We start from the raw sequence: 25,411 nt of genomic DNA, 5'->3' as shown, positions 1-25,411 counted from the left end.
TGTAATTATTCAAGGATCTCGAGATAAAATCATCTGGGATTTAGGATAAGCCCTAAATCCAGTGACTGGTATCTCTGCAGGAGAAAAGACATGAAAATTTTAGGGACACAGGGAGGAAGGCCATGTGAAGATGAAAGCGGAGATTGGAGTTATGCAGCCACAAACCAAGGAATATGAGGAGCCAGCAGAAACTGAACAGGGCAAGGAAGAATCCACTTCTAGAGCCACTGGAGGGAGTGTAGCCCTACCTATACCTTGATTTTTAACCTTTGGCCATCAGAACTATGAGAAAATAAATTTCTGTTCTTTTAAGCCACTGATTTTGTGGTAATTTTGTTGTTGTTTTGAGACAGGGTCTCATTCTATTACCCAGGCTGGAGTGTAGTAGCACAATCATGGCTCACTGCAGCCTCAAACTCCTGGGCTCAAGCAATTCTCCTGTCTCAGCCGCCTGAATAGCTGGGACTACAAGCATGCACAATCATACCTGGCTAATAGTTTTATTTTGTAGAGACAGGGATCTCACTTTGTTGCCCAGTTAGGGCTCAAACTCCTGGGCTCAAGCGATCCTCCAGCCTTGGCCTCCCAAAGTGTTGGGATTACAGGTGTGAGCCACCATGCCTGGCCTGTGGTAATTTTTTATGTCAGCCCTGGGAAACTAGTATGCCATGATATCACAAAAAAACTATAAATTACCTAGGAATAAATAAATATGCACAATACTTGTGAAAAAAATAACATTTTTTACAGACAAAAAGAAGAACTAAATAAATGAATAAATACCAAGTCCAAGGATGGGAACATCCACCATTTAAAAAAATGTCAATTCTCCAAAAATTAATCTATAAATTCAGTGTACAACATGCCTAAGGTCAAAATGATTTTTCATACCTTTACCTGGTGATTATAAAATTATATGAAACTGTACATTTTTAAGAATAACCAAGATTTAAAAAAAAAAAAATTGGGCTAGAACAATAAACTCATTCAACCTAATGTGAAGTTGTATTATAAATCTATAGTGATTAAAATAGTGAGCTATTGATACGATAAGTAAAACAGCTCAATACACAAAAGGATAAAGATTCCAGAAACAGATATATATATATCTGTTTCTATATAAGAAAGCCAATTGCAGAATATATAATATATAAGAATATATAAGAAAGCCAATTGCAGAATTATAAATGGCAAATGAATATCCAAAAAGTTACTTAGCTTCACAAGAATTCAGAAGAATGCAAATAAAAAGGAAAATAAAATACTCTTTTTTAATGCAAGTCTGGCAAAATATAAAATTTTTAAATTATATCTACTGGTAAGAATGAGGGGAAGAGGTATTTTCATATTGCTTATGTATTAAATTAGTATAACTACTCTGGAGGGCAATTGGCAGTATAGTCATTGATTAAAATTAATATGTGCACCCCAGCAAATCTAATTCTAAGCATTTATTCTATAGAAACACCTGTACTGTTGTATAAGAAACCACATCCAGGATTATTTATTGAAGAATTATTTATGGTAGCAAAAATTAGAAACAATCTGAATGACTATTCATATAAGAATGTAAACTATAAGATACATCTATAATATTTTATCAGTAAAACAAACTATGGTACACCCATTCAATGAACTATTATGCATCAAAAAATAAAGTACTATTAATACTTTATTATATTTATATATTATATTAATAAAGTACTTTAATAATACTATTTAATCAAAGAACAAAGTACCATTAAAGTACTTTGTACCATTAAGTAAATTACCAAATACGTTTTAACACTTAGTATTAGTATTTTAAAGTACTATTAAAGTACTTTGTACTATTAAGTACAAACAAAGTACTATTATGCATCAAAGAATAAAGTACTAATAAAGAATTAGAACCAACAAGGATAGTATGCATACGTGACCACCTGCTCAGAGATAATACTTAAATATTTGTAACAGTTTTATATGGTCTTAATGATAGACAGTATTGATAGACAGTATAATAAAAGAGTTCAGGTAGGTTTTATGCAAGTTCAAAAGTCTTAATGGTTACATGGAAATACATTTACTTAAAATTTTTTTTTGAAACAGGGTCTCACTCTGTCACCCAGGCTAATGTGCAGTGGTACAATCATGGCTCACTGCAGCCTCCACCTCCCAAGGTCCAAGCAATCTTCCTACCTTGGCCTCCTGAGTAGCTGGGACTGCAGGTGTGCACCACCATACCCAGCTAATTTTTAAATTATTTGTAGAGATGGCGTTTCCTGTGTTGCCCAGGCTGTTCTCAAACTTCTGAACTTTAGTGATCCTCCTACCTTGGCCTCCCATGCACTGGCATTATAGGTGTGAGCCACTGCTCCTGGCCAGATTTTCTTATTTTAGCCATAGAAACACAAAATTTAATCAAGTGATGTTGCCAACTGGGTGAGGAGTTCACATTCTAATCTGATTTAAATTATGAGTAACTGTAATGATCAATTTTATATGTCAACTTGGTTAGGCCAGTATGCTCAGATAGTTGGTCAAATGTTATTCTGGATGTTTCTGTGAAGGCGTTTTTTGGATAAGATTAACACTGAAATTCGTGGAGTTTACGTAAAGCAAATTACTCTTCATAATGTAGGTAGGCCTCATCCAATCAACTGAAGGTCTTAATAGAACAAAGACTGACCTTTCCCAAGGGAGAAGGAATGCTGATAGTAGACTGCCTTTAGATTGAGACAGTACCTCTTCCCTGAGTCGCCAGCGTGCAAGCCTTCCTTGCAGATTTCGGACTTACAAAGCCTCTGTAATTGCATGAGCAAGGTCTTCAAAATAAACCTCTCTTTCTATGTATAAATACTCTGTTACTTCTGTTTCTCTAGATAACCCAATGCAGTGATGATATGGCTAAAATCCAGGGATGTAAGATAGGTATGTGGCTAGCTCACTCTTGAGATTGGTGCATATCATCATGGTCACAGTGGTTCACTCATATAACAGTTTATATCCTCTGTTTGCTAGGAAACACCATCAAGCAAAGAAAGCAACCTCAAAATTATATAGCAAAATAAGCTCAAAAATCATGTGAGATAACGTAAGTTTTCTTTAGTAGGTAAGCATTTTTCAACCCCAAGAATATTTGAAATTAAGTATATAAATGTCAAGATAAATCTGTATTATCAACAATTTAGTATTAAGAATTTTACACATATTTATTGTCTATATACCTGTAATAATTTAGATTTGGTCTAGTAGAAGAATAGCTTATTTGAACAACAGTCTTGTGATTCTAATTTTAAATGTATTATTAAGTAATTTATTTAGACTTGTGAGTTTAATTTAGTATCATTTCTTTATAAACATTAATGGAGCGGAACATTAAGAAAACTTAAGAATCACCTCTTTGGCCAGGCTTGGAGGCTCATACCTGTAATCTCAGCACATTGGGAGGTTAAGATAAGAGAATGACTTGATCCCAGGAGTTCCAGACCAGCCTGGGCAATATAGTGAGACCTCGTCTCTACAAATATAAAAAAATTAGCCAGGCCTGGTGACACATGCCTGTAGTCCCACCTACTCGGGAGACTGAGGTGGGAGGACTACTTGATTTTTTGAGCTCAGGAAGTCGAGGCTACAGTGAACCATGATTGCACCACTGTACTTCAGCCTGGGCAACAGAGAGAAAGACCTTGTTTAAAAAAAAGAAAAGAATCAATTTATTTGATATATGAGTTATTTAAGTACTCAAAAAATTTTGTTAAATCACACAATGTAGAGCTTAAAAAGGAAAAAGAATATGTCAGTTTTTGTGAATACAGCTTGACATAAAGAAGTCTAGGTAACTACATTTATAAATTGGACTTCACATTAATCAAAGACCTCTTACAAGTGATTGCTAAAATTTGGTTTCATAGCCTATACCTTTAATAAACTGCTAATTTTTAAAACCAAAGATAACCTTTGAAAAGTATTTTCTTTTCTTTTCTTTTTTTTTTTTTAATTTTGAGACAGTTTCATTCTGTCACCCAGGCTGGAGTGCAGTGGCATGATCTTGGCTCACTGCAATATCTGCCTCCTGGGTTCAAGCGATTCCCCTGATTCAGCCTCCCGAGGCATGTAGCTGGGATTACAGGCATGCACCACCACATCCGGCTAATTTTTATATTTTTAGTAGAGACAGGGTTTCACAGTGTTGGCCAAGCTAGTCTCAAACTCCTGACCTCAGGTGATCTGCCTGCCTTGGCCTCCCAAAGTGTTGGGATTACAGGTGTGGGCCACTGCACCTGGATGGTAGAGTATTTTCTATGGCAAAAAAAAGTCATGCTTGGGGCACCAAAAAATTAGTTGACAATATTGCTGAATATATACACACACACACACACACACACACACACACACAATAGTACCATATGTTTCTACAGGAACTTTTTTTTTAATTACACATATGAAAATAAGAGAATGATAATAAGTAAGAAAATAAGATGATGATAAGAAAGGCATACATCTTAAGCTGAAAATAGTGTTTTCTTCTAGAAGAAAGCCAGGGAGACTATAATTTTACCAGTAACCTTTGAATATTTTGCAATGCAAGAGCATTCATGTATTGCCTGTGTATGGAAAAATAAAGAAAGCCCTTTATCAAGTTATGTGTACCTATTTTGGGTTCAATAATCTGGGTCAACATACTTCTGACCCTCTATCTTGTCTCAAAATGAGTCTGTGTCAAGGGGGTTAACCTTGCTCTTTTTATTAGCAACAGAAAGCTAATCTCCTAGCACTACATTTTCCAACCACCTTTCTGCTTGAGGAGCTTCACATAACGGGCAAAACTAAAAAATACAAACTATATTCAGAATGCAATTTTGGCACTAACGTTGAGAGTTTAGTTTTATTTGATAATATGACCGTGGCAAGGAGTGAAACATCTTCTAATGGTTTAGGGAATATTAATGAGAGAAGCAAAAAAGCATGCTTGAAAAGAGTCACTGGGGTGGGAAGCTATTGTCAATAGAGACCATATTTTCCAAATATAACCAGGAGAAAACACTTGTTATTTTCAAAGGACTAAAGGTAGAAATCTTCTTGAGGAACTAAGACTCTTGTTTGTTTGCTATATGTTGGTGCAAAAGTAATTGGGGTTCTTGCCATTACTTTTAATAGCAAAAGAACATGCAGGCAGGTTCCGTGTGAAGTAATAGCCTTTGAGGCATGGTCTGGAAGAGAAGGCAGAACAGAGAGAAAGCTGAAATCCTTGGCATAAAGCTTTCATCCTAGGGCAAAACTGGGAGGATCCTAATATTGAAGCTGAGTGTTCTTTTTTAGAGACGGAGTCTCACTCTTGTTGCCCAGGCTGGAGTACAATGGCGCAATCTCAGCCCACTGCAACCTCTGCCTCCTGAGTTCAAGCAATTCTCCTGCCTCAGCCTCCCAAGTAGCTGGAATTACAGACATGTGCCACCACGCCTGGCTAATTTTGTATTTTTAGTAGAGATGGGGTTTCGCCATGTTGGTCAGGCTGGTCTCGAACTCCTGACCTCATGTGATCCACCTGCCTTGGCCTCCCAAAGTGCTGGGACTACAGGCATGATCTTTTTAAAATTATCCTTTTTGATTTTGTCTTGAAGAAAAAATAGGCAAAATAAAGTGGCATTACTAGAGCTTGTATACAAAGGTTTGAGGAAGATGGAATATTTAATTAAAATTACAGCTACCTGTTGAAAACCTGTGCTTACAAAATTCTATTAGGTTATAAAATCATGAGGTTTTAATTTTATTTATTATTTTTTCTTAAGAAATAGATCAGTGATGCATATTGTCTTCCTTGATAACGCTTTAGTAATTATCTGTTAAGATTACCACCTTGTTGAAATTATTATTATTATTATTTTTTTTTTTGAGACAGGCTCTTACTCTGTCAGCCAGGCTGGAGTGCAGTGTCACGAACACAGCTCACTACAGCCTTGACCTCCCATCTGGGCTCCAGTTATCCTCTCACCTCAGCGTCCTGAGTAGCTGGATCTACAGGCATGTACAACCACACCCGTCTAATTTTTTTTTTTGGTAGAGACAGGGTCTCGCAATGTTGCCCAGGCTGGTCTCAAACTCCTGGGCTCAAGTGATCCTCCTGTTTTAGCCTCCCAAAGTGCTGGGACTACAGGCATGAGCCACTGTGCCCAGCTCCTTGCTGAAATTCTGTGTGAAAACTTGCCCAGCATAGGAGACAGCCCCACTTTGAGCTGGAAACCAGAGCCTGTTGCTGAAAGTTCTGATCCAACCTTCCTTTTCTCCCATGTGTTAAGCCTCAGAAGAACAAGAATCTCAGGCTTTCCAGGTGAGATACCCAACTGCTAAGCAGAGCTGAACTCTGCAGGACCCTCCAGGTGAGCATCAGCTCTCCTCTCCATGGCCCACCAGTGTCTCAGTGTGGCTGCAACCAAGATCATTTATTTTTCCACATAGTCAGGATGTTAGGTACAATTAATCAAGCAAAGACCAATTGGGATTATTTACAGAGAAACATTTTTCAGTGCTTTTCTGGAACAATAAGTAAATGGAAAGGATTTTGGATTTGCCCTTTGGAGACCAAAGAGGGGGAAAAAGGTGCTGGAGAAATGGATTGAGCACGAGGTTTCGGTGAGGACACAAATCCAAACCATGTCAGTATACTTACAGTGTACTATCTCCAGAATTTTACTAAAAACCCATATTATAAAGAATCAGCATAGGCTGGGTGTGGTGGCTCATGCCTGTAATCCCAGCACTTTGGGAGGCCAAGGTGGGCGGATCACCTGAGGTTGGGAGTTCGAGACCAGCCTGACCAGCACGGAGAAAGCCTGTCTCTACTAAAAATACAAAATTAGCCGAGTGTGGTGGCGCATGCCTATAAACTCAACCACTTAGAAGACTGAGACAGGAGAATTGCTTGAACCCGAGAAGCGGAGGTTGCAGTGAGCCAAGATCACACCATTGCACTCCAGCCTGGGCAACAAGAGCGAAACTCCTTCTCAAAAAAAAAAAAAAAAAAGAATCACCCAGCACTTTGGGAGGCCGAGGCGGGTGGATCACGAGGTCAGGAGATTGAGACCATCCTGGCTAACACGGTGAAACCCCATTTCTACTAAAAAATACAAAAAATTAGCCAGGCCTGGTGGTGGAAGCCTGTAGTCCCAGCTACTCGGGAGGCTGAGGAAGGAGAATGGCGTGAACCCAGGAGGGAGAGCTTGCAGTCAGCCGAGATCGTGCCACTGCACTCCAGCCTGGGCGACAGAGTGAGACTCTGCCTCAAAAAAAAAAAAACAACAAAAAAGAATCAGCACTGGACAAAGTAGAATAAAATGGAGTATGTGTGTAGTGAGAGGCAATAGTTCTAGCAGTCAGACATCAAAGCGGGGTCAAAAAGTTTCAAACGTGGAGTACAAGAGGGAATGAGCTAAAAAAAACAAGAGGTGGTGATTGGAAGATGAGATCTTAAAATTGTGATTTTGGAGGTGTTGTCATTACCAGTAATGGAAAAGTCTTCAAGTATAACCACAGGAGTAGGTGTCAAAGTGGAGTAGAGACAAGGTCATTGGAAGAGAGGAGATTATGGAACTGAAAAGTTAGGTATGAAAAGGTTACACATGGATGCTAAAATCACCAGGAATTTTGATGGTGTGTTATAAAAGAGAATGACTGTGAACCAGGAGCTAGAACCTTTTGGAACAGGTGGGAAAATGTCCTGGCATTGGGGGTCAGTAGATAACATGAAAGTATTGAAGAGACTATTTAGAGATATTGTGAATATAAGGGATTTTGCTAATGATTGACTATGATTTCCAGGGGACATAAGGAAGGAGTTTGGGGAGTTGGGGGTGAATTGGGAGATGGAGAAAAGTACCCAACCACATAGGGAAGAGAGTCTGGAAGATGAGGGTTGCTGGGGGAACCGCAACTTCTTTTGGGGACTGAAGAAATCTAGATCAAGGGATACCACAAATATTGGAAGTGAGGCAGTAAGCGCTGAAGAAGAGAGCGATCTTGCCAGAAGCACACTCCAGGGCTTGCTAGTCACTCCTGCTGCTGGGGGTGTAGAAAGCAGGAGACAGGCTGTCTTATGTCAAGCAAAACTAATAGGAGATTTCTTTCCAACCTCCTATCCCCATCCGCTTCTTCCAGTTGGTTTCCAGGCTCTGTGGAGGGATAGCAAATAAGGTTTCATTCTCCATAGACACAGAATGACTGCCTGGAGCCAGTATGAATTTCAAGGTCACATATACAGATTCAGGGGAAAGAGAAAAGGACACCTTTATGTCAGCATCTGCTTTCCTTGGTTTAAGGTGATCCCTAAAGCTCAAATCAATTTCTAATTCTCCATTCTATTTCTCTGCCTTTCCCCATCTCCTAGCCACCTGCATACTGATAAAGCTGTTAGGAATTCTACTTACACCACTTCAGGCTACAGCCTCAAACCTTCCTGTAAGTCATTTACTCAGATTGCTACACTCTCGGTTAATGATTCCCAAGTCTCCATCTCCAGACAAGATCTCATTCCTGAGCAGCAGAAACTTAGCTGCAAATGTTTACTGGGCCTTGAGCGCATCAAATGTGCTATGTCCCAGGCCGTACTCACTATTTTGTCCTATCCCTGCCACCCCAAACTGTTCATCCCCCATCCCAGTTAATATGCTCCCATTCACTCATTTCCTTCCATGTTTTTTCTCTTTTTAAAAAAACTCTAATCCCATAACAGATTACACCCGCATTAAAAAAAAAAAAAAAGAGTCTCATTATGTTGCTGAAACTGGACTGGAACTCCTGGGCTCAAGTGATCCTCCCACCTCAGCCTGCAGAAGAGTCTCTGCCCACCCCCATTTTATTAGCCATTTATATCCATTCAACCTTCAAAATTCATTAAATCTGCTCCTCTCCACCATCCCCATACCTCTGCCTTGTACACATCTGTATCTTCTCTTGAATAGACTCCAGTCCACCTTCTCAATATCCCCAGAGCCATCATAGTGACCTTTGAAAACACAAATGTGCCTCCCTTCCTAAAAAGTCATTAGTGGTTTTACATCATACACAGAATAGAGATCAAAGTTCTGAGCCCCTGTTACAACATTGCATGTTTGTCCAACTGCCTAGACTCTGACCGCCACCAAGGCAGGGAAGGTCTGCCTCCGTTATCTTTGAATTCCCAGTAACTGCTTGGATACACAGAATATCATCAATATTAAGTGAATTACTGAAAGCAGGCAGAGGAAAAGTATAAAAAGCAACCTAGTTTTAAACTCTCCCTCATGCAAGTTTATATGATGCAATTTTCTACAACTCTCACTACCAGCTCATTCATCTCTGCTCTGACCATGAATAGCAAAGAAATAGAAATCATATTTTATTTGACAATTAACAAAAGACATATCAAGGTGGGTATGTGGTCTCAGTATAAATTTTTTTATACTAGGTCCTGACCCTACCATTTCCAGGTGTATAACCCTGGGTCAGAGACTTAATCTCTGGCCTCAATTTCATCATTTATGAATTGGGGATAATAATAGTACCTAATTCAAATGGTTGTTAAATGAGGCAGTGTGTGGAATAAGAAGTGCTCAATAAATTATACCTGTAGTTGTTACTTCAGCAGACCCCTTCATTAAGCCTGTTTCATTAAGGCTTCTAAAAGGAGTAGAACGTACGGTTCATTCATGGAGAACTACAAACAATGCTGCTTTGGACAATGGAAAACGTGCATGCATTTCCTAGAAGAGGATGTAACATGTCTTTACTTTTTCCATAGAGTTCAGCCCATCCAAAGTCAGCCTCACATGGAGGTTGGGGAGTTTTTGTATCTTTCTCTTCCTGCTCCCCTCTTTTCTCCCAGTGTTTTCTTCCTCTCTGTCCTCTTCCCCAGGGTTCAATGGCTCCTGGAAGAGAGGCAGCAAAGCCTATAGCTCTCCAAATAAATAGGCTTGGGTCTCATGGGGACAGGCAAGCCAACTGGCCTAGACGTGAAGTTTACAAAGAGCCCTAAATGTTGACTTTCAACATTATCTCACAATTCATTTATTCATACATCACAAAGATACAGTGACACAACTGAAAAAACTCATTCATTTTAAACTTGAGTTCCATGACTGGACCACTCTTCCTATAGCAAACCAGGAATAAATATTTTTTATGAATTGCATAATTATTTTGTAACTAGCACATTACATTGTATTTTATCTCTGTTTATGAATTTGACCTCTACAAACAAGTTAATATCATTCAACCTATTATTTGAAGATGTTAATTTGTTGAACATAAATATTAAAAAAAAACTTTATGTTTCTGTTATGCCATTTCTTCACTTTTTAATATGTTGGAATTCTCAGAAAACGGCCTGGCTGTGGGGAGGTTTCCTTTACTCTTTGAGAAGCCACGGAGTGAGGCATCTACAAGGCAAATCTTTCTTTTGCTGATAATAACCATCTTTGATAGCATCCCTTCAATGCATTTTTGTTCCCTTTTTAAAACAGAAGTAAGGAGAAGAAGGGATAAAAGGAATATGGAGGGCCGAACTCCCTGTCACATATTATATAAAATTACAATAATCACGAGTCACCTATTTCACAAATTACTGTGAGCGTTACAATTAAGAATACACTGCAAAGAACTTTAAAGAGTTAAAAGTACAATTATGAAAGGCAGTGTGCTCCAGGGACCATTTCAGTCTGTGAACTCTTTGTTTCTGGTCCATGGCTAGTTAAGTATAAAAAATTGAAAGTAAGCATTTAGAAACTGTTACAGAAATTTGACAAAGTAATTTTATGTCTGTTGAACCAAATAATAAAAGATTTGGGCTTGTATTTTGTATGTCTGGTTTTTTTACTTCCTCTTCCAGTAAGTCATTTTCATTGCATTTTACAAAGGCCAAGAAAAACCTGTCCTTCACTGCACATAGTTTGAGAAGCACTGATAAAAGGTATTATTATTTCTGAAATTTTGCTTAAAAAACCACTTAATAACCACTAAATAAGTCAGAAGTCATTATTTGAGAAATACTGTTTCATACCAAGTATAAGGAGTTGCCAGCACACAAGCAAGTTCCAGAACAAGTTTGTTTTGTATTGAGTAACTTGGTTATTTGGTAGTCAGAAACCACTTTCCCCAGGAAACAAACGTAAACCAGGGGTTATGTTCTTGGTGTGGCCTATACATCCTAGTTATCTCAAAAGACAGCTAAACTATACTATACAATGTAACAACCACTATAACATTCTTACAATGGTTTCTGATTTCCAAATTAGAAAATACGTCTCATCTCCATCCCCATGTGAGGAATGACAATTCCAGCCCTAGCATGGTGGTGGGGCTGGGGGTAAAGATGGATACTACTTCTGCAAAAGTTGCTTCAACCGCAACATTCAGAAAGAGAAAGAATATGGGGGTAGAAGATTCCTCACACAGATTATTGGGGGAACTCACTGGTCATGTTAATAAAGTTAAAATAAGGTTTCCATTTCTCTTGATTCTCTGAGGGTGAGCTTAGGTAGGTTTTGGTGGACTTGAAAGTCCTGGCTCATTATCACAAATGCTTCCATGCTAAATCCCAAGGTGTTGTTCCTCCTGACCACCCAGCACCAAGATGGCAAACAGGTTTCATCCTGAACTGAAATCTGTTCCCTAGCTCAGGGATTCTTATTTCCCTTTCGTTGTTGTTTTAAAAAATTGTGAGGACAAGTCTGGGTGTGATGAGACACTTTGCCAAAATCAATTAGTGACGCCTACCATGGGCCAGGGAAGAAAGGAAAGTCAGCACAAAAGCTGGTTTTGGTTGTTGTTGTTGTTTTTGCTATCCTGAGACTAGCCTAAAAGATGTAGACCTCCAACCCTTTAATGTCACCTGGAACCAGGTTGAAGAACATGACTATTAAGAACATGACTTTTTTCTTTTTAAAAAATTGGGAATAGCAAAAGGGAAATAGACAGAGAATAGCATATACTTGGATATTCTTATTTGCCATCTATGTGGTTTCCTCATTTTGCGGAACTTGTGGAAAGACACGGTAGCCTGGCTCCTGACCCAGAATCCATGAGGCATAGTTGTATGTACTTCCCTTGGGGCCTAAGAGATTAAGAGAGAAGCCCAGACAATAGTCCAAGGCCCTCTGCTTTAGGTCTTTCTTCTAAATTCTGATTCTTTAATTTTTTTTTTTTGTTAATTTTAATTTTTTTTTTGTAGAGATGGGTTCTCCCTATGTTGCCCACAATGGTCTTGAACTCCCCGCTTCAAGTGATCCTCCCACCTGGGCCTTTCAAAGTGCTGAGATTATAGGCAAGAGCTACCTTGCCAGGCCTAAATTCTGATTTTGTATCTGAGGCTCTTCTCTTCCTCAATAATTGACACCAAAAATAGTCCTAGAAAGGAGATTCCACCCTTCTCTAAACAGTCATAGCCTTAGCCTATGTCAGAGTTCTTAACCCAGTGGTCCATTGATAGTTCAGAGGAATTAATGACCTTGGATAAGAAAAAAAAAATCTTGATTTCAAATGGAATTTAGCATTTTCTTCAATTACAAAACTAGCAGACAAACCTCAGAAGCATTTGCAGTACTTGTGACTGTTACTAATGGAAATAACAGTTATTTTCATTATTTCATTATAGTTGTTTTCAGTATCATGAAAGAACATTTGCACTCCTCTTTATTTAAAAGAATGTTGCTAGATCTTGTTATTTAATATGTTAAATAATGTTGCACACATTACATTACCACATTACTATAGCAAAAAATTATGTTTTAGATATTTTAACAATTACATTTCAATTGTTGACCTTTAATTTTAAAGCTAAGGCAAAATTAATGTAAGTAGAGAGTTTATTTGGGCCAAGTTTGAGTACTGCAACCCAGGAGTATAGATTCAAGTTTCCCTAAATATACACTCTGATTAGCAGCAGTTACACATAGATTTTTAAGGGGAAGGAAGAGGCAGTTCCTAAATTCCTTGCGTTAAAATAACATAAGCTGTGGATTGGTTATACTTTGTTCTTTGTATCATAAATTCCAGGAATATGAAGATAATGGGTGGGACAGCTACTCGGGAACAAAATGTCTTTAAACAACTGTCCCCAGGCATGGGTATTGGGGCGTGACTGAAGTCCCATACTCATGTCGCTCTGGGCCTGATAAATTTTGCATACCTCACAAAGCTCAGACTGCTCTCAGCTATTTTTTTTCCTTACAATGTAATTGATTTTCTTTGCAATCTATACATTTTATTCATTTATTTAAAATTTTTTTTTCTTCTTTCTTTTTTTCATGAACCGCACAGAGAAAATTTATGCATTTTATTGTAAGCATTTATAAACATTATTCTAAGAAGTTATCCACAGGCTCACCACTGCCAGAAGGGTCCACGACACAAAAAAGGTAATGCCTCATGGGCTTTCAAAGGACAACTTTTTACTTCTCTTTCTACCATCCAGTATAATCCAATATCCTTAGGACTGAAGCAGAGATACACACACACACAGGGAGAGAGGTGTTTGTGCTTTTTTTTTTTTTTTTTTTTTTTGGTGAGAGGCAGGTGGGAAATTGGCATCCACTTTTATTTACTGGTTCTTTATAAAACTGATATTTGTTGAAAATTGTCAAGTGTGACCATTTCTGCCTACATATTGTAGGGTGGCAATTAAATACCGAAAACCATTAGAAGCTTATTTCAGATGTACTCATTTATTGTAATGGTATCAATCTTGATGGGTAAATTTCATTTTACTTTTAAAATTGTATTTTAAATTATTCCTTCATGTTACGGTTGTTAGAGTAAAAACGGAAAAGAAAAAAACTACACTTCTTCCCTTTGAGTTTGGATGAAAAAGACGTGTCTAAGTCCTTAAGTCTGTAGTCTGGAAGTATTAATAGAGGCTGGGCATGGTGGCTCATTCCTGTAATTCTAGCACTTTGGGAGGCTGAGGCAGGAGGATGGCTTGAGTCCAGGAGTTTGAGACCAACCTGGGCAACACAGCAAGACTCGGTCTCCACACACACACACACAGACACACACACAACTTACACACACTTAGCTAGGTGTAACGGTACGTGCCTGCGGTCCCAGCTACTCAGGAGGCTGAGGCTGGAGGGTCCCTTGAGTCCGGGAGGTCCAGACTGCAGTGAGCTATGATTGTGCCAATGTACTCCAGCCTAGGCAACACAGCGAGACCCTGTTAAAAAAAAAAAAAAAAAGTATTACGAGGCACAGGATGTTTATTTATTCGCAACTACGTCCTGTTATAAAAAGTAGTGATTCCAACGTGAAATATTTACACGACGCATCCCGTTACTTTCCCTCCCTTGGCCACCGACCCCCATCCCCAAAAGCTGCTTTCTATGTAAGTTTCTCACTGGAATAGCGAGTGAGAAATGTGTTTGAAGACTAGGGAAACGAGAAAGGTATGCGGGCTGCTAGAGGGTTTCGGGTGGGTTGTTTGAAAAAGGAAGTGAAGGAATTCAAAGTTTCACATCATGAGCCTAATGTAAGGCGTGTCCGGGCCGTCCCGAAGGTATCTGGGGAAATAGGTTTGTGAGGACAAAGACCAGGGCCAGGCCCAGGGCGGAGCCTCCGCGGCCCCGACGCAGGGACTCGGCCTAGGCGGAGGACGGGGCGGAGCGCGGCCGGCACCATCGAGCCGGGAAGATGGCACCGCCCACGGAGCTGCTGGCCAGGCCGGAGCGAGGCAGCGCGCCCGGCTCCCGCGCCATGGGGCGGCTGGTGGCTGTGGGCTTGCTGGGGATCGCGCTGGCGCTCCTGGGCGAGAGGCTTCTGGCACTCAGGTAGGTGGGACTCCCGCGCGCCCCTCCTCGGCGGTCCCCAGGCTCGGGGTGGCCGCGTGGTGCGGGGAGGGCGCAGGCTGGGGGAGGGATTCCTGCGGGACCTGGCCCTGCGGCCGGGGGTGGAGAATTTTTGAATGCTGTCCCTCCCCCAGCTAGTTGAACCCCCATCACCCCGACTCTCCGCTTCTAGTGAAAAAACTAGCAAAGTTTGGAGTGAATCGCGACACTTTCTTGAAAGTTTATAAGCCCTTGCTGCTAACAAAGTTCTCTTCTGCTTAGGCTGACAAGAGAATGCTTTGCAATTACCCAAGGGCCAAACTAGTGGTTTAAATTGAAAACAAAATGACTACTCATGCATTGAAACCTTAACTATGAAGATTTATTTCAGGTCATTGGTGCTGTTTCTCCTTGTTGCCCAAACCAGACCCGTCTTTAATAAAGTTGTTCTCCACCCATTTCTGCATAGTTTGAGAAACTCTTCAGCTGTAGATCAAAGACACTTGAAATATTCAGCTACTGTTCTTACTTCCTATTTATTCACCAGGGAAGCCTGAAGCCAGAATGCCAGACAGCGCAGACACTATTCCATCTCGCATTTTAGTTTTAATGAAAATCTCTGGTAGGTAGACATCATCGTTTATAAATTACCAACTCAACGTTTGTTTTTTGTTTATTTTATTTTTTGTAGAGATGGGGTCTTGCTGTATTGCCCAGGCTGTTCCCTAACTCTTGCACTCAAGCAATCCTCCAGCCTAGGCCTCCCCACAGTGCTGGGATTACAGGTGTGAGCTGTTCTGCCCTGCCTCAACCAAAATTTTATAGGCCTCATGCAAAAGAGTTCCAGAAAGACTGAGCACCTGCTATGTGTAATGTTCTCTCTTAGGCTTCTATAGTAGAGTACGACCCTTATGGAGTTTGATACAGGGGAAGAGAGAATTAAAATACAGTAAATGTATAAATTAGGATGTTCTAAGGACAGACACAAATGAACCGCATAGGCTTAAAGAGGAAAGATTCCATCCCCTGAGGGTGGAGTTCTAGAGGGAGGAAGAGACATTCGACCTGACCTTGAAGGGTGGGTGCAACACATATGAGCATGAAGGGGCCCATGCCAAATGTATAGTGCAGCAGGAGCAAAGGGGCTAAGGTGGGAAGTTGGAAGACTAGCAAATGGGCCAATTTGAAGGGAGCATAAAGTCAGGAGATGAGAATAGTAGGGTGGTGGGAAGGATAGGTTTTGAGGCCATTAAATATAAGTTGAAAAATGGGGCCCCACTTTCATAGGCCCAATAGTGCTTCAAAAGGGAAATATTGGTGGGTTTTGCTTTTCAACAAGAACTTAATATAACTAGTTGTGTTTTATAGAGATAAGCCTGGAAGGGGGGATTGGAGGAGAGCAATGGTTCTCTGTACATTAGAATCTCCTGGAGGGCTGGTGTCTGAGTGGCACCACCAAAGATTCTGATTCAGCTGTTCTGGATCAGAATCTACAGCTCACACCTGTAATCCCAGCACTGTTGGAGGCCTAAGCCAGAAGATTGCTTGAGCCCAGGAGTTAGTGACAGGCCTGGGCAACATAGCAAGATCCCACCTCTACAAAATGAATAAATAAATAAATAAATAAATAAAAAACAAAATTTGAGTTGGTAATTTATAAACTATGGTGTCTACCTACCAGAGATTTTTCGTTATAATTAAAATGTGATATGGAATAATGTATTGTTTGGCAAGCTGGCTTCAGGGTTCCCAGGTAAATAGATAAATAAGGAAGTGCATAATGTAAGAACAGTGGCTGACAGTAGCAGTGGCATTTTTTATTTTTAAAAACATTCCTGATAATTCTAATGAGCAGTCAAGGTCGAGAACTACTAGAATAGAGAGCAGACATGGGGTAACTGGTTAAGGTATTGCAGTAGGTCAGAGAGGATAACAGGGACCCAAACTCTGGAACCCCAGGGATGAGGGAGAAGTCAAAGGTGCTACCAGAGTTTGTGCCACAGCTCCACTGTCCCATGGTTGTAGTTTCATCTACTGATAAAGCAGTGCAAAGAGGAAGCGTGTGGTGGCTGAGATGGGAGTGAGATTTGAGGAAAGAACGCTTATGGGTAGGAAATGGACATGTTGACCTTAATTTTCATGTTAGGTAATGCCCATTGTGCTCTACAGAACATTCATGAGTTGGATGACTTTGTATATGATCTGTCCTGCTCTCCATTTCAAAGGCAAGACCACCAAAATTCACAAGCTTATTATGTTGTCACTAATGTGTAAGCCACCAGTTTTTCTGCAAGTTGGAAGTTTTCTCAACAGTCAAATATTCCCCCTTCTCACTAATCTTAAGGTTTTAAAGTTATAGCTGCAAATCTAAAAAAAAAAGAAAAAGTAAATAAAACTTATTGACAGAATGCCTGATAGTTTATTTACAGGTTTTTGTTTGTTTGTTTTTTGTTTTTCTTTGTTTTTTATTTTGACACAAGGTCTTGCTCTGCCGCCCAAGCCAGAGTACAGTGGTACATCAAAGCTCACTGCAATCTCAAACACCTAGGCACAAGCAGTCCTCCCTCCTCAGCCTCCTGAGTAGCTGGGACTACAGATGCATGCTACCATGCCCAGCTAGTATTTTTATTTCTTGCAGAGACAGGGTCTCACTTTGTTGCCCAGGCTAATCTCAAACTCCCAGCCTCAAGTGATGCTCCTGCCTCAGCCTCCCAAAGTGGTAGGATTATACACATGAGCCACCACCCTCGGCCTACTTTACAATTTGATGCACCTTTTCTTTACGTGACTGTGATGCACTTTAATGGGCAGTGACTTTATAAAATGGTAACTTTATTGGATATGTGGAGCCCCAAATGGGCTGACGTGAGAATGTTGGGGTAGGTGGTGGGTGGCTGGATTTAGCAAAGAAAAATGTAGGCTACCCAGTTAACTTTGAATTTCACATGGATTTTTTTTTTTTTTTTTAGTATAAGCATGAAATACTTATACCATACTTTTAGCATTAAGCGTGGAATTTGGGACATAATTATACTAAAATATCATTCATTGTTTATCTCAAATTAAAATATCACTGGGTACCCTGTATTTTATCATATGTTCGAGTGCCTTCTGTCAGAATTTGGTGACCCTTTGAGTCTGTTTTAAAAAGGAGCATGTTTGGCCGGACACAGTGGCTCACGTCTGTAATCCCAGCACTTTGGGAGGCTGAGGCGGGCAGATCACTAGAGGTCAGGGGTTCAAGACCAGCCTGGCCAACATGGTGAAACCCCGTCTCTAATAAAAATACAAAAATTAGCCAGGTGTGGTGGTGCATCCCTGTAATCCCAGCTACTTGGGAGGCTGAGTCAGGAGAATTGCTTGAACCCCAGAGGTAGAGGTTGCAGTGAGCCAAGATTGAGCCACTGGACTCCAGCCTGGACAACAGAGAAAGACTCCCTCAAAAAAAAAAGAAAAAAAGCATGTTCCCACCTCCCCATAAGGAAAGGCTCTTCAGAGGAAGTTGAAGGAACAGAGGCTTTATGTTTGATTTTTGCTTTAATCTGATGCCTACTGTTTGATTATTCAATATTTAGAGATGGTACTTTGGCAATCAAGTTATTTCTCTCCCCAGGTTGCCCACTTCAATTTTTAGTATAAGGATGTCCCAGAGGGATAAATGCCATCAAAGTTGTCTTTCTTCTTCTGAACTGTAACTGGGATTCCACACCCTCCTTTTCCACCCCTCCCTAGTTGAGCAATAAAGGGGAAAATAACAGTATACAAATATTCCCAGGCCAGTTCCTGGTGTCAAGGTACACAGCCATGGATGAATCATGAGGCTTGAGTGCATCAGAGACCTAAGCGTGGGCAGGAACCCCCAGAGTACCCATGTGAATGTTCTGCTTGCTGCCTCGCACCTTTTATGACAATTCCCACAAGAAGCTATGTGGTCTGTTTCTACTTCTGAAAGAGCAGCCTTTTTCCCTTTTTTTTTTTTTTAAACCACCATCCTTTAAATCATTTATTATGTAACTCTTGTGTGCTGGTCAGTCAGTGTGTCAAAAGTGTAAAAACTTCTTTATTTATTTTTTTAATCTATCTTTTAAAAAATATTTTCTTTCTTTTTTTCTTTTTTCTTCAAGGCAGGTTCTTGCTCTGTCACCCAGGCTGGAGTGCAGCAGCACAATCATAGCTCATTGTAACCCAGAACACCTGGGCTCAAGCAATCCTCCCACCTCAGCCTCCTAAGCAGTGAGGACTATAGGCATGCACCACTACACCTGGCTAATTAAAAAAACATGGCCGGGCACGGTGGCTCATTACTATAATCCCAGCACTTTGGGAGGCTGAGGCGGGTGGATACCTGAGGTCGGGAGTTCAAGACCAGCCTGACCAACATGGTGAAACCCCATCTCTACTAAAAATACAAAATTAGCCAGGCACGGTGGCACATGCCTGTAATCCCAGCTACTCAGGAGGCTGAGGCAGGAGAATCACTTGAACCCGGGAGGCGGAGGTTGCAGTGAGCCATTGCACTCCAGCCTGGCAACAGAGCGAGACTCTGTCTCAAAAAAAAAAAAACAAAAAAATTTTTTTGTAGAGATGGGGGTCTTGCTGTGTTGCCCAGGCTGATCTCAAACTTCTAGCCATAAGTGATCCTACCGCATCAACTTCCCAAAGCACTGGGATTATGGGTATGAGCTACTGAGCCCTGCCAAATTTCTTTATATTAAACCAAAACGTACATTTACTGATATTTGGAAAGAAAGCTCTTTTACTTTTATGCCTTCATCCAGTCTTCATAGATATCTTCCCTTTTACATTATAACTGTAAATACTGAGGTTAGAGAGGTTAACTAGTTAGTTCAACAGAATAATATAAATATTGAATAATATAATTAATGAATAATTAGTGCTGAACCTGTCGCCTCAGCCAGGTCTCCTGATTCCAAATACAGTTTGCCCCAGCTCCCCACAGTCTTCTAGCTTCTCTGCCAGTGGAGCAAATTTTCCCTAGGTTTACAGGCCTAAGCACAGATTCTTAGTTACTTAGTGCAAGTATTGCCAGAGCCCAAGGGGTGAATTCCAAAGGGTTTTTACAAGGCTATACATAAAAGATAAAGCCCTGGCTTGTATATCACTTGCACATAGGAGATAAAGCCCCAGCAGTTGTATGTAAATTTCAAAAGCAGAGAAGTATGGCACAAAGAAACTCCTGATAGTAACACTGTGTTCCCACTTTGCTTAGGGGCATATTGGCACCGTAGCATGGTACACCCTTACTGCTACCTGCCATGAGGCCAGATAATAGCTAGCAGCCCCTGGTCTCATTCTACTCTGGATGGGTACTGCTGTTTCCTGAATGAAAGACACTGAGATTGATTTCATGCTAATGACTGTTGGTTAAGAGTTCATGCTTTCTATTCACAATAGCAAAGACTTGGAACCAACCCAAATGTCCGTCAATGATAGACTGGATTAAGAAAACGTGGCACATATACACCATGGAATACTATGCAGCCATAAAAAAGGATGAGTTCATGTCCTTTGTAGGGACATGGATGAAGCTGGAAACCGTCATTCTTAGCAAACTATTGGAAGGACAGAAAACCAAACACCACATGTTCTCACTTATAGGTGGGAATTGAACAATGAGAACACTTGGATACAGGAAGGGGAACATCACACACCGGGGCCTCTTGTGGGGTAGGGGGAGGGGGGAGGGATAGCATTAGGAGATATACCTAATGTAAATGACGAGTTAATGGGTGCAGCAGACCAACATGGCACATGTATACATATGTAACAAACCTGCACGTTGTGCACATGTACCCTAGAACTTAAAGTATAAAAAAAAAAAAAAGTTCATGCTTTGTGGACAGGTAGCCTGAGTTCATTCATAGCTCTACTATTTACCTGAAACCTTGGACTAATTATTTCACTTTTCTGTGCCCCAGTGTTGTAATCTGTAGGATGGGGTACTGCCTGCTCCACAGTGGGACTATGAGAATGCTTAAAATAATGCCAAGCGCACAGTCAGCTCAATAAATGTCATCTATGTAGACAATGAAATTCAAGCATAATTCCTTAAACCTTTGTGCCATACATCCCTTTGGCAGTCTGGTAAAGCCTTCATTCCTTCTCAGCATCATGTTTTTAAATGAGTAAAATAAAATATATAGGATTACACAGGAAACCAATTAAATACTGCTACCAAGCTATTTAAAAATCTATGATATAATATGCTTTTTAAATTAAACCCTTAAATGGATCTAGAGGTAGGTAAATGTCTAACAGCAGATATTTTGAAGTTGCAATGAATGTAAATGGCACTTTGAGCTATCTACAACTGAAATGCGATAGAAAAGTATCTATAATTTCTATTAGTGACAGTCACAAATACTACTAATAGTATTGTGGTTTGTTGCTTATACTCATCATCAAAGGAAATACTCAATTTGAGTTAAAGGTTTAAATAAAGATGTATTTTTCCCCCATCCAAGTTCATGGATCCCTGAATTCTACCCATGGATTCCTTGGTCACTGGACTCCATAGGGGTCACTTGGGGAATGATTGTGACACCAATGAAGGAAGCCAGCGGATACTGTTTGCTGTATTATACCTACCATAGGCTCGTGATGAGGAAATAATAAAATAAATAACTGTAATGAAAAAGAAAAGAAAGGAAAACAAAAGGAACCTAAAACAGAGAAGGCAAATAGCTTTCCTTTTGAGTGTCAATTTTAACAGACTCCCTGTGGTTGCGAAACAATGTGTCTGAGGCTGGCTCTGGGTTAGAGGGAGAGTGCTGTTATTGATTAGCAATTCCTGCATGACAGCAGAGTGGCAACAGCCATGCATCTCTGACCTGGCACAGTCATAAGCATGTTATAGACATAAAGTGTTAGGGAACAAATAGGCTCTAGCAAAAGTAAAGAGTGTTCCTCCTCTCATATCATCACTTATATGTGTTTATACCATTTATGTTGTATTTTTTACATGAATACTTTTAGATTTATTAATCTAATCCAAAAAGGTTTGTATAGCTTTCTCTATATTAAGAGAAATATATGTATTTCTTAAATACACAAAGTTCTTAAATCTGATGCCAGCGAGGATTGCTTCCAGCCACAAGTAACATATATCAGATTAATAGTAGTTCATTCAAAGAGGGATTTATTTTCCTCACATGAAAAACAGCTCTGTGGGTGACCCAATATAGAGCTTGTTCATTGAGCCAGTGATTATATCAAGGAACTGGGTTCTTCATATATTTTCATTCTTTGATCTCCCCCTATTGACTTTATAGCTGTATCTTTCTCAAGGATGCAGAATGGCTGCCGCAGTCTCAAACACTGCGTGTGTGTTCAAATCATGAAGAAAGGAGATTGAGTGATGCCAGCTAGCTCTCTTCTCGTGACTCTCCTTTGTATCTAGAACACAGTGTCTTTCCCCAAAACCTGGGTCATATGACTACACCTCAATACAGCGGAGTCTGGGAAAGCAAATATTTGCTTTGCCCACCACTACAATAGAAACGACAAGGGAGAAAGAAAGGGGGTTGGGCATGGCGTTAATTTTGTCAGCCGCTAGGGTCTGCCACCCAGAAAACAGAAGTCCACTAACAAGCAGGGAACTGATTGTTCTGCCAGGGAAAAAGTCTGGCAGTTTCCTACTGAAGAAATTTGGAAGTCTTGATGGTCCAGGAAGGATAAAGGCAAAACCTTCATTTTCTTTTATCAAAAAGGAAAGCCAAGAAAAAAATTAGTTAAGTAGAAGTTATGCACAACCCTCATGTAACTCTTCCATGTTAATAGCAGGTAGGCTGCATATGAAAACATGATATTATACAAGAAAACTAGTTGATGAAGATTGCCCTATTTAGCACCAATTACTTACGCAAACCTAAGTTGACTCTGAAACAGGAACCCCATATTAAACTTTTCAAACACATCAGAATATGTTACTTTGAACAGATTTTATTTAATCCAAAGAGATTATCTTTGAAAAAGGTAGATGGTAAACATCGTTATCCCTATTTTTGTATAGTCAAATAGGCATAGTAGTAAGTTGTGTAAAATTGACATCCAAACCAATGCATGATACTAAAACTTGGTGTACAAACAGCAGTTACATCCTATTGCTTTGTATCTACATCTGTTTCTGGAGTCATATAACATTTGTAGAATCTTGGAGGTGTTTTAGGCTCATCCTTATTTTATCCATAAAGAAGACTGACACCTATAGAGATTAACTGACCTGCCAAGGGTCATGGCAGTTTCACTGCTGAGACAAGAACACAGATCCCTTTACTTCTTTCTGAGAAAAGTACAAAGTAGTTTAAAGCAAAAGCTTCCCTGCTTCCAGCACTTCTGGCTAAGTTGCGCCGTGGGAAAATTGTTTTGTCTGATTCAGTTTTCTCATCTTTTAAACTGGAATAATGCTACCTAATTTACAGGGTTGTTTGAAGAATTAAATGAATGCATGGAGGTAAATCACTTAGAACAGCGGTAAATTATACTTTTTTATTATTTATTTCCTTTGACCACCCACAATTATCATCAGTGTCATCCTCATCATCACAATTAAGATTACTACCACATTAGGCTACATAAACTTTTTTTTTCTCTCTCTGTTTTATAATTTCAATTTTATTTTAGATTCAAGGGGTACATGTGCAGGTTTTACATGGGTATATTGTCTGATGCTGAGGTTTGGGGAACAACTGATGCCATCACCCAGGTAGTGAGTATAGTACCCTATAGTTTTTCAGCCCTTGTCTACTCCCTTCCCTTCCCCTTCTAGTAGTCCCCAGTGTCTACCATCGTCATCTTTATGTCCATGTGCACCATTGTTTAGCTCCCAGTTAAAGTGAGAACATGCAGTATTTGGTTTTCTAGCTTATTTTTCCTCTCTTAAATCACTTCTGTGACACGTAGGCCATGAGATTTATTGTATTTTTTAATGCCTTATTTAAAAATTTGTATTATTTAATACATTTAATGCATTATTTTTTATTATATTTAAATATTGATTTATTTGTACTTTTTGCCTTATTGCTATATTGTTTCAAAAAATTTAACATTATTTGAGTTACATGATTTCAAATACATACTGATTAACATTTTAATTAGAAACTTTATGTCTGATATGAATTGCCAAAATGTGTAGTTGGTACAACCTATGAGTCATTCTGGGTTATCTAGAAGAAACTGGTAGCCTGCCCCATACTCCAGAAGCCTTCCCCAGTGTCTAGACCTCAGAAGCTGTCAGGAATATGCACAGGAGAAGGACACATGGCAAATAGCTATTTCGTCTCTTAAATGTATGGTATGTGGGAACCACTGAAAAATGTAAAGTTTCTACAAGGTGCTATTTTTATTATTTATGGCTCTAGAGAACAGAGAAGGTGAAAAATGTGAGAGAGAAGGGAAAGCCAATAGTATGTGGCCTTCAAAACAAAAGATCCCACAGATATTGTCCCAAACTGCTTCCTGGCCCTCTAGAGTGGAGAGGGAGGGGGAAGACATCCTATTAGAGTTCAACATTCTCTTATTATTTCCTTCTTTTAATTTTCTGGGTATACAACAGCAAATAGTTTTGCTGAAGTAGTTACAGAACTAGTTGGTGTTCTCCAACCTTCCTATTCCAATACATACTGTCATGGATGGGTACACTAAAATCTCAGAATTCACTGCTATATCACTCATCCATGTAACCAAAAACCACATGTACCCCCAAAAGCTATTGAAATAAGATAAATACATTCTTATTTAAAAAAATACTGTCATAGGGATGCTACCTTCTTTTCTTTTTTGTTAGTAACTATTTGTGGGATGTCTTTGGTGTGTCAGGCTCTGAGCAATGCCATTTTCTCTTGGCTTCTTTGCAGTCTCTGTGTGAGGCTTACAGTCATTTTTCACGTTTGACTCTTCAGAAGGAAGACAGGGCTACTGGTTCTACATCTGGAACTCTTTTCCCACAACACCAACACTGAGAAATGTGACATGGTGCTGTGTTTACATTTGCATAGGAACTTGCATTATAAGTTTTATTTGTTGAGTTATTGGCTTTTTTTTTTTAATAACCCACATCAGTATATAGAACTTTGCAATAGGCATTTTTGTTTTAACTTCATTTCTGGTGCAGTTTTATTTTCCTACCCTTGTCTTTCTATTTTCTCTTTCATCTGCTTTAGACTTAAACTGTGTTTTATGTATTGCTGTAAGCCTCTTTAAACCCTTTCTAAAACAAAGCAGGGAATACATAAACAAATAGTTTTTTGTTTTTTGTTTTTTTTTCTTTGTAACAGAAATCGACTTAAAGCCTCCAGAGAAGTAGAATCTGTAGACCTTCCACACTGCCACCTGATTAAAGGAATTGGTATGTATATGAAAATGCTTGTTGGGCACATTGCATTTTTTGGCCATTAACATTAAAACACTCATTAATGGCATTTTAGCATGAAATTACTGCTTTTCAGTGGATAAATCACATTAGATCAACAAAAACCTCTTTGGTCAACCTCTTGATCTGATGAACCCTGTATTTATTCTTCTTTCCTACCCTCACTGTAAATTATTCTTTTTTGTGTGTAATTCTATGTTTAGCATTTGATTTCTTGCTTGTTTTGTGACTTCTCTGAACTATTTTTGTTGCG

General features: G+C 39.6%; 1 protein-coding gene across 3 annotated transcripts in view, besides 4 other annotated features; it reads left to right on the top strand.

Annotated features, from left to right (window-relative positions):
* Nucleotides 8,878-9,172: an enhancer, noted in NCBI's record as "tiled region #10642; HepG2 Activating DNase matched - State 5:Enh". NCBI's record gives its function as "activates a minimal TATA promoter and a strong SV40 promoter by Sharpr-MPRA in HepG2 cells {active_cell/tissue: HepG2}" and the evidence as "EXISTENCE:reporter gene assay evidence [ECO:0000049][PMID:27701403]".
* Nucleotides 14,264-14,834: an enhancer, noted in NCBI's record as "H3K27ac hESC enhancer chr7:95064127-95064697 (GRCh37/hg19 assembly coordinates)". NCBI's record gives its function as "activates a minimal SCP1, AML or CMV promoter by ChIP-STARR-seq in naive H9 embryonic stem cells {active_cell/tissue: H9 hESC(naive)}" and the evidence as "EXISTENCE:reporter gene assay evidence [ECO:0000049][PMID:30033119]".
* Nucleotides 14,264-14,938: a biological region, named in NCBI's record as "H3K27ac hESC enhancer GRCh37_chr7:95064127-95064697".
* Nucleotides 14,509-14,938: a silencer, noted in NCBI's record as "silent region_18383". NCBI's record gives its function as "represses an Ori minimal core promoter by ATAC-STARR-seq in GM12878 lymphoblastoid cells {active_cell/tissue: GM12878}" and the evidence as "EXISTENCE:reporter gene assay evidence [ECO:0000049][PMID:35858748]".
* Nucleotides 14,621-25,411, top strand: part of PON2 (paraoxonase 2) — a 30,167-nt gene continuing 19,376 nt past the window's right edge. For 2 of the 3 annotated variants that reach the window (NM_001018161.2, NM_000305.3), the window contains exons 1-2: nt 14,621-14,771; nt 25,064-25,134. In NM_001018161.2, the coding sequence (NP_001018171.1) occupies nt 14,698-14,771; nt 25,064-25,134 (145 nt within the window). In that variant the 5' untranslated portion in view covers nt 14,621-14,697. Of the gene's footprint in view, nt 14,772-25,063; nt 25,135-25,411 lie in introns of those variants that run through there. The other variant, XM_005250453.2, reaches the window with a different exon arrangement.

Source organism: Homo sapiens, chromosome 7 (assembly GCF_000001405.40).
Source record: "Homo sapiens chromosome 7, GRCh38.p14 Primary Assembly".
In the NCBI taxonomy this organism is placed as follows: domain Eukaryota; kingdom Metazoa; phylum Chordata; class Mammalia; order Primates; family Hominidae; genus Homo; species Homo sapiens.
Note: the sequence above shows the minus strand (reverse complement) of the source record. Positions and strands in the feature narration are given on the sequence as shown.